Below are 9,654 nucleotides of genomic sequence, written 5' to 3'. Positions count from 1 at the left end.
AAACAGAAAGGAAAACATGCCTGGAGTCAATGTTTTGGCCTGTCTATTAGATAACAAGGGCTCTGTGAAGTTCTTTAAAAATATTTCAGAGAAAGTTTTCTGAACAAACTGCCCAGCTCTGGCTCAGAGCTCTTACAGGAACTGTAGAGGAATTGATGAGGAGAAACCTCACATCCCAAATGGCAGCAAATAAGAGACTTGGCAGCCTGTGTAGGCAGTGGAAGACAATTAGGACAGGAAATTAAACACACACACGATCTCTTTATATTTACGTTTCATGCATTTATCTGGGAGTCCATCAAAAGCAGATATGTTAAATGGATGTAGAACTAGACAGGCAAGATTCTAAAGCATACATTTTTCTCATTGCTAAAAGGAGAACTGTAACTGAGATGGTCTTGAGGGCGTTTGCTTTTTCCAGGAGTTGATAATTTTCTGATCATCAACTCCAGGGTCCAGGACCTCATGCTGGCCTGAGCTTCTCAGGGCCCACCTTGGGGTACCCAGCAGGACTTATTACAGTGGAGCCTGGCATCTACCAACATGTGACCTTCTCTCCCAGTTTCTGTGCTCCATGTCTTTAAGGCCTGATGGTTCTTCTTGGTTTATCTGATCAACGAATACAAGGAAGGCACTGCTTGTATTGTGGGTGCGCTGTGGGGCACAGGCAGGAAATGCACAAGATAACCCCTGAGCACTTCCAGCCTGTGTCCTGCCCAGCGCACCTGCAAGGGGAGGGAAGAAAATCATAGAGCTGTTATTTATATTTATTTTTATTTCATTATTTTCTTATTTATATTTCATAATGTTTATAATATATTAGGTATAGTAATATGAACGTGTGATTCAAACATATATACGTACAATAATACACCCATCTAATTTATACACAGTTAACCCTAAACTTGCCCTAATTGTGTAAATCTCCTTTCTAGGTATTCTATCAATTTGTCGTCTTTTTTTTTTTTTTTTTTTTGAGACAGAGTCTCACTCTGTTGTCCAGGCTGGAGTGCAATGGTGCCCCCTTGGCTCACTGCAACCCCTGCCTCCTGAGTTCAAGCAATTCTCCTGCCTCAGCCTCCCAAGTAGCTGGGATTACAGGTGCATGCCACCATGCCCAGCTAATTTTTGTATTTTTAGTAGAGATGGGATTTCACCATGTTGGCCAGCCTGGTCTTGAACTCCTGACCTCAGGTGATCCGCCCGCCTCGGCCTCCCAAAGTGCTGGGATTACAGGTGTGAGCCGCCACGCCTGGCCAATTTGTCTTCTTGAAGACAACTCTGTCAGAGCCTCCGAACCTGTGCCAATCTGGGTTTCTGGCTCTCTGGGTTTGCCGTATACCTGTCGCCTTATGCTGTCTCTTGGCCAACATTTGGGAATGATCGTTGCTTCTTTCTCTCTTTAGTTGCATGGATCTCGTATCTTGCTTTCTCTGGGTATATTTCTGGCATATCTAGCTTCCTGAGAAAAGAGTAAAAGGAAGGTGTGGTGTTATGATATATATCGGTTTTTGTCCCCAGTTCCTGGCTCATAAGTCCCATAGCCCTTGTTAGTCATTTGTTATAATTCTGGTTTGTGTTAGGCCTCAGGAAACAGAATCTCTCCAACCTTCTCCTGCCCTCCTTTCATCTGCCCCAAGGCAGGACTCTAATCTTCCCCACCTTTCTGATGTGGGTCTTTAGATTCTCCTCAGAAAGGGTCCCACCCAATACCCCGGGGGAAGGCCTGCTGACATGAAGTTTGACGAAAAATCCAAGAAGACAGGGTTCAGTGAGCTTCTGGGTGGCTGAACACAGGGAATTTTCTGGAGGGTGGCACCCAGGGAGGGCATGGAAGCTCTGCACCCCTTCTGTCCTACCTCACCCTATGCATCTCTTCATCTGTATCCTTTGTAATACCTTTTATAATAAACCAGTAAATGTAAGTAAGTGTTTCTTTCAGTCCTGCGATTTGCTCCCACAAATTAATCCAACCCATAGAGGAGGTGGTGGGAACCCCAACTTGAAGCCCATTGATCAGAAATTCCAGAGGCCAGGCATGGTGGCTCACATTTGTAATCTCAGCACTTTGGGAGGCCGAGGTGGGTAGATCACATGAGGTCAGGAGTTTGAGACCCGCCTGGCCAACATGGTGAAACCTGGTCTCTACTAAAAATACAAAAATTAGCTGGGTGTGGTGGTGGGCACCTGTAGTCCCAGCTACTTGGGAGTCTGAATCAGGAGAATCACTCAAACCTGGGAGATGGAGGTTGCAGTGAGCTGAGATCATGCCACTGCACTGCAGCCTGGGTGACAGAGGGAGACTCCATCTCAAAAAATAAAAAAATAAAATAAAAAGAAGTTGCAGAGACCTGGATTTGCAACTGGAGGAGGGGCAGTCTTGTGGACTGAGCCCCCAACCTGTGGGATCTGACATTATCTCTGGGTAGACAGTGTGGGAACTGAATTGGAGGACACCCAGCTGGTGTCCACATATTTGTTACAGAAGTCTTCTGTGTTGATGATTGTTGTGGTGGTGTGAGTAGAGGGGAAATGTGGTATGAGTTTTTCTCTACACAGAAGGAATCCTTAAAGACTTTGTACATTTGAAAAAAAAAACTTTGGTGTTTTTTCACATTTAATCAATAATTTGGCTGGATATGGAAATCACTTTCCCTTAGAAATTTGAAGGCATTGCTCCCTTCTCCTCTAGCTTCTAGTTGTTGTTGAGGAAATTGAGGCCATTCTGATTCTTGATCTTTTGGATAAAACCTTTTTTATTTCTCTTTTCGTGTTGGAAATTTGTCAGATGTTTTCCACAGCTTCCCTCTAAAGAGTAACCACCATGATGACTTCTTGCACCTCCAGCCCTTGGTGAATGTTTTATGGTGGAATCACAGGGTATGTGCCCTTTTGTGCCTGGCTTCCTTCACTTATCATCCTGTTTGTGAGGTGCATCGCAGTGTACAGCAGTGACTACTCAGTCTCATTGTGGTATGAAAATCTATTGTAGGCTGGGCACGGTGGCTCATGCCTGTAATCCCAGTACTTTGGGAGGCTGAGGTGGATGGACCACAAGGTCAAGAGTTCGAGACCAGCCTGGCCAACATAGTGAAACCCCATCTTTACCAAATACAAAAATTAGCCGGGCATGGTGGCAGGTGCCTGTAATCCCAGCTACTCAGGATGGTGAGGCAGGAAAATCCCTTGAGCCTGGGAGGCGGAGTTTGCAGTGGGCTGAGATTAAGCCGTTGTACTCCAGCCTGGGCAACAGACAGAGCAAGACTACATCTCAAAAAAAAAAAAAAAAAAAAAGCAATTGTAGAATAAAGCACAATGTATATATTCCAAATGTCCATTGTGTGTATCATCTTATATTTGTTTTATGGATTCAATATATTGTCTTGTCTTTCTGAGAATATTATTAATTAAGCCCAGCATGGTAGCTCATGCCTATAATCCCAACACTTTGGGAGGCCCAGGCAGCAGGATAGTTTGGAGCCAGGAGTTCGAGACCAGCCTGGGCAACAAAGTAAGACTCCATCTCTACAAAAATGAAAATAAATTAGCCAGGCGTAGTGATACCTAAATGTAGTCCCAGCTACTCAGAGGGCCTGAGGTGGGAGGATCGCTTGAGCCAAGGGGTTCGAGCCTGCAGTGAGCTATGGTAACGCCACTGCTTTCCAGCCTGGGTGACGGAGTGAGACCCTGTCTTGAACAACAATAAAAAAATTAGGTGATTTTTTTCTTAGCTCCTGTGTAGTCTTTATTTCCTAAGTTACTTCTAAAAACTGGTTCAAGTCTTTCCTGTGCTTTCCTCAAATGTCTGGTAATCCTTGGCTTTCTGCTTTTATTTATGCTTGAGGCTCTAAAAAGTTGATTGCTAGAGCTCTGTGCTCATGAGTGGGTCTCTAACTGTGGCGTTTGTTTGTAGGGTGATCTGACTACATTATTTTCTTGGAAGACATCCTTAGTGTTGGTATCTTTAATTTTTTCTCCTTCTCTTGAGCTAATTGTATTACTCAGGAAATAAACATTTAAGCTAAGGTATAATCTTGACTCCCAACAGTTTGAGAGCCAACTGGGAGAGGAAGACTGGGGAAACTCAACTTTGGTACTGCAACTGCCTTTGCAAAATTATGACTGAGACAGTGAAAGAGATTTAACTTCATGACTCCATCTTGCTTCTAACGTCCAAGCTGTCCTTGTTCATTCCTGGGTGTAGGCTGAGCTAACTTTGGGAGAAACTTAGTTTATAGTTTATAGTTTAGACTGGGCGTGGTGGCTCATGCCTGTAATCCCAGCTACTCGGGAGACTGAGGCAGGAGAATCGCTTGAAGTGGGGAGGTGGAAGTTGCAGTGAGCCCAGATCATGCCATTGCACTCCAGTCTGGGAAACAAGAGTGAAACTCCATCTCAAAAAAAAAAAAAAAAAAGCAGGCTAACAGATGAGCTGTTTTATGTTTTAAAAAGATTTAAAAAGATAAGAATGTTTTGTCATTGTGGTGAAATGTATTCTGTCTCTCTCTCTCTCTCTTGCCCACATGATCATTAATTTCTTTCTGCAGAGTTCACCTTGAATGCAAATTTGAACACATCTCTCTGATCCTGCCATATGTTTTCTTGGTTGTTGCCATGATTTCATTAGCTATTGTAGAGTTTAGAACCAGCTGATGCTCTAAAAGTGATTTCTGATGCTGGAACTTATAAGATACAACTACCTTTAACTTTATTTAAAAATTAGAATCTATGTAGAGAAGGTAGGCATGCAGGTGTTAACTCTTTCCTATCCTATAATACTGGGAATGGCAAATGGAATGAGTTGATTTTTTTCCCCCAATTCCAGTGGCCAAAACTGAGCACGACTGAACAACTAAAAAATGAGCCGGGAGTACTGTAGAATTGCATAATCAAGGCAAGCAATTAATATTAATAGTGTGATCTTTACAGTTTTGACAATGTGAAATAAACTTAGTAATTTTTTTTTGTTTTGTTTTGGTTTTTGAGACGTAGTCTCGTTCTCTGGCCAGGCTGGAGTGCAGTGGCACAATCTCAGTTCACTGCAACCTCCACCTCCTGAGTTCAAGTGATTCTCCTGCCTCAGCCTCCTGAGTAGCTGGGATTACAGGCACATGCCACCAGGCCAAGCTAATATTTCTATTTTCAGCAGAGATTGGGTTTCACCATCTTGGCTAGGCTGGTCTTGAACTTCTGGCCTCAAGTGCTTCACCCACCTCGGCCTCCCAAAGTGCTGGGATTACAGGCACGAGCCACTGTGTCTGGCCGGCAAGCCGACTTTAAAGACAGGGAAAGTATACTGATAATATAGGACAGGATTTCTTGCTTCAGGACCAGTTATTGTATTGCGGATTCTTGACGCATTTCTGCACCATGCATAAATAATCCACCTATCGGTCATAAATTGACTCTATTAAGAATAGTATAATAAATCAATGAAATAAAAACAAAGAAATCCACAGTCATACACTTTTCATGAGACTATCGTAAGGAAATGAGAGGGTTGTGATCTGGCCAGGTGAAGTTAGAGCTATCATGAGATGCCTCGAATGCATTGTGAGATGCACTAACAAATGCAGCAATTCAGAATTATTGCAGCGACTGGGAACTAGCCACTTTTGCCAGAAATGCTGTCACATCAGGTGGGGAATACTTTGCTCTTTTTTTTTTTTTTTTGAGACAGAGTCTGGCTCTGTTGCCCAGGCTGGAGTGCAGTAGTGTGATCTGTGCTCACTGCAACCTCTGCTTCCTGGGTTCAAACAATTCTCCTGTCTCAGCCTCCCGAGTAGGTGGGATTACAGATGCTCACCACCACGCCCGGCTAATTTTTGTATTTTTAATAGAGACGGGGTTTCACCATGTTGGCCAGGCTGGTCTCGAACTCCTGACCTCAGGTCATCCACCCGCCTCGGCCTCCCAAAGTGCTGGGATTACAGGTGTGAGCCACTGCACCTTGTCATCACTTTGCTCTTTTCTACAGATCAAGTGACCTTTCAGGACGTGAAAGGTCCTCATGCTTTTTAGGGTCAACTGGGCACCCCTGGCTGAGGCACATTCCAGCAGACTAAAGTCAAGTTGTCTTTCACCTCAGCACACAACCAAGAGAACAAGTCCTGGCATCATGAATGTGACACAGCTCTCCTTGTGTTTGGGGAAAAAAAAAAAAAAGAATTGAATCTGGGCCTGTTAATAATGCAGTCCACCGGTTTGTGCCCAAGACGTTGAATCTGAGAGTAGTGGCCATTTCCGAAAGATGATCTGAGCCTAAAGGAACTACATAACCTTTCCCCCTGCTTGTCTTTGAAGACCCAGTTACCTTGAAGTCACCTCTTTATACCAGCAGCAACACCCCAGTCTCCATTCACAAATTATCTCCGATGCAGCCTCCCTGGGAAAACTTAAAAGCCTATTTAACAAGAGGAGCCTGCTGCCAAGAAGTTGGCTTGGGAGAATGGCGGTAATTAAATGATGTTAATATTTAGGCTCTTGCCGGTATAACAAAGCCTCCTTTCTTTGTCTCAGGTGGGGACATGTTAGCACATTGCCTCTGTCTGGGAAAGGAGGCGAGCAAGGGAGGAAAGAGACTATTGTGGGGGTGTGAGAAAGGGGAAGAGGGGAGCAGCGAGGCAGGGAGGGGAGGCTGACTTCTGAGATCTGAAAGAAGAGATTGATGCTGGGAGAGAGAGAAGCTTAATGTTGATATTCATCAGAGATGAGCCCCTTGGCATTGCAGCCTGAGACTTATCAGAAAAGGTGAGAAGGAACAAAGCTACCTTCTTTGTTAAATGGTTTATTGTCTGTGAGAGGAGGGGCAGGGAGCAGTGCAGGGTTTCGGGGAGAGGCCAAGGGAAAGAAGAATAAAGAGAACTGTCCTAGGAATTTCGCACTTTGTACTTGGCTAGAGCCAGGAGGCTGCTAAATTCTCAGCAGTAGCCTCAGTTCCAGTCTTGCAGTGGTGAGAAGAAAGGACTGGGAAGATGGAAATTGGAGTTCCAATAACCAGCATTTCCTCTTTCTAGTTCTGTGATCCCTTGTGAGTTGTGAAACAATCAATCACATCTCTAGGAATGGGGAGTTGCCCCTCGCTGGCCAGACTCCCCCGCTGCCATGTGCACTAACAGAGGGCGACCCTACCATCCTGTTGGTCTGGGTGCATGAACACGTCTGTGCTGTTTTGTCTGCTCCAGCGTGTGCTTGTCTCATGATTTGAGTTGATCCAGAGGTCGGTGTGATGGATGTATCCTGCACATCTAATAAATAAGTAAATTCGTGCCACTTCCTTTAGCTAAAGCAATTTCATCTGTTCAGCCCACAAAGAGGATAAATGGAATGCACAGCTCAGGGCTCAGGGCCAGGATTCCAAACATGTGGGAAAGAGCCTGTATTCCTCGTTCACTGCTGCCTGAGTTGGATAGACTGCATCTAGGAAGCCTGAATCCAGATCAATCTCTCTCTCTCTCTCTCGTTCTCTCTCTCTCTCTCTCTCTCTGTTAGAATTTAACTCTGGTTGAGACGATCTGAACCTTAGAGGATTATTGTGCAGTCAAAGACCAGGTTGCTGTTTGCAGCTTCTTTCAAGATTCTCTGTGTTGGAGTTAAGAATGAGTAGGGTGGTGGGGCAAGAAAAGAGGAGAGACATTTAGCTAGAGCATCTTCTTTTACTGAAGAAAAATACATTTGGCCTGGCCTTGGTTTCGGATCCAGGATTGCTTACTTTTTGTTTAAGCGTGGGGAAAAGAAGTTGGAAAATTCCACCACTGGAGGACTAGGGTAGGGATGAGGAGGTATAAAGAAAAGAGGAAGCAGTGGGTCCTTCCTTATGCTTCAATTATTGTATTTTTTTCTGATTATAAATGTAGAGAATATTATAGAGAAATTATAAAATATAGAAGAGTCCAAGGAAGGAATTTAAGATGCTCGTAATAGCAACATTAAAGGATAAACACTGATATATTTTGGATATTTGTCCCTGCCCAAATCTCGTGTTGAATTGAAATCCCCAATTCTGGAAGGAGGGCCTAGTGGGAGGTGTTTGGGTTGTGAAGGCGAATTTCTCATGGTTTTGTGCTGTCTTTGAGAGAGTGAGTGAATTCTCATGAGATCTGGTTGTTGTCTTTGAGATAGTGAGTGAGTTATTGTGAGATCTGGTTGTTTAAGAGTGTGAGGCACCTCCTCTTGCTCTCTCTCTTGCTCTTGCTCTAACCATGTGATGTACCTGTTCCCACTTCACATTCTACCATGAGTAAAACCTCCCTGAGGCCTCCCCAGAAGCCGACCAGATGCTGGCACCATACTCGTACAGCCTACAGAACTGTGAGCCAATTGAACCTCTTTTCCTTATGAATTACCTGGTATTCATTGGTATTTCTTTATAGCAATGCAATAATGGCCTAATAAAAAGAGTATTAACCTTTTGGAGAATCTCATCATTTTATTACAGTTTTATATGCTGCTTTTTTTTTTCCTCCTAGTAAGTATTTTGTGGGAATCTTCCAAGGACATTGCAAAATCTGCAAAATCATGTTTTTTTAAAAAGCAGTTGATTAGTACTTCACTGACGGGTAAAATATAATTTATTTAAGCATTTCCGCATGCTGGGCACTAAGGCTGCTTTCTTTCCCGTTACACAAGAAAAGCTCCAATGTACACCTTTGTACACACATTGTGTTTGTGCAAATACATAATTATTTTTTGAAAATGTGTTCTTAGAAGAATTATTAAACTAATTCTTGATTCTCTTCCAAATCCTAGCAGGCAGAAGTGTTTTGGAGAACAGCCTTAGCATTACCCAGAGGGGCTCTAACAGCTCAGCTTTGGAACAGAGGGCATCTCATGTGCTTCTCAGGCTCACTTGAGTGTAGGTGTGTGTGTGTGCTGTGTGTTTGTGTGTGCTGTGTGTTTTGTGTGTGTGCTGTGTGTTTGTGGTATGTATGTATGATGTAGTGTGTGATGTGTGGTGTATGTGTGTGCATGGTGCATGGTGTGTTTGGTGTGTGTGGTTTGTGTGTGTGGTGTGTGTATTTGGTGTGTCTGTGTGGTGTGCAAGGTGTGTTTTTGTGGTGTGTGTATAGTGTGTGTAGTATGTAGTGTATGTGGTATGTGTGTTTATGTGTGTGTGTGATGTGTGTATATCATATGTGTGGTATGTGGTGTGTGTACTGTGTGTGGTGTGTATGTGTGTGTGGTGTGTGTATATGGTGTGTGTGGTGTGTGGCATGTGTGGTATGTGTGCATTTGTGTTGCTACGTGTTGTGTGTGTGGTATATGTGTATTTGTGTGTGGTTTGTGTGGTGTGTGTGGTTTGTGTGTGGTGCGTGTGATATGTGTGTTTGATGTGTGTGTATGTGGTGCATATGTGTGTTTTTTGTGTGTGTGCTAGTGTGTGTTTGGGTAGGAAAGAAGAAGGTGCTGTAGCCTTGCATCAGGTGGTCCCTTGAATTTCTGTGACCTCTGACTTGCCTGGATTCTGGAACAAATCTCCCACAGCTGTGCACCTCCTCAGAGTGAGTGGATGATCCCCTGAGGTGTGACCCCCACCCCCGAGATGTGACCCTCCCTGAAATGTGGACCCCTCTGGTGTGATCCCCTGAGGTGTGAACTCCTGCAGTGTGATCCTGTGAGGTGTGATCCCCTGAGGTGTGAACCCCTGCAGTGTGA

The sequence above is a fragment of the Homo sapiens genome, chromosome 8 (genome assembly GCF_000001405.40).
Source record: "Homo sapiens chromosome 8, GRCh38.p14 Primary Assembly".
In the NCBI taxonomy this organism is placed as follows: domain Eukaryota; kingdom Metazoa; phylum Chordata; class Mammalia; order Primates; family Hominidae; genus Homo; species Homo sapiens.
This window is presented reverse-complemented; position numbering follows the sequence as displayed.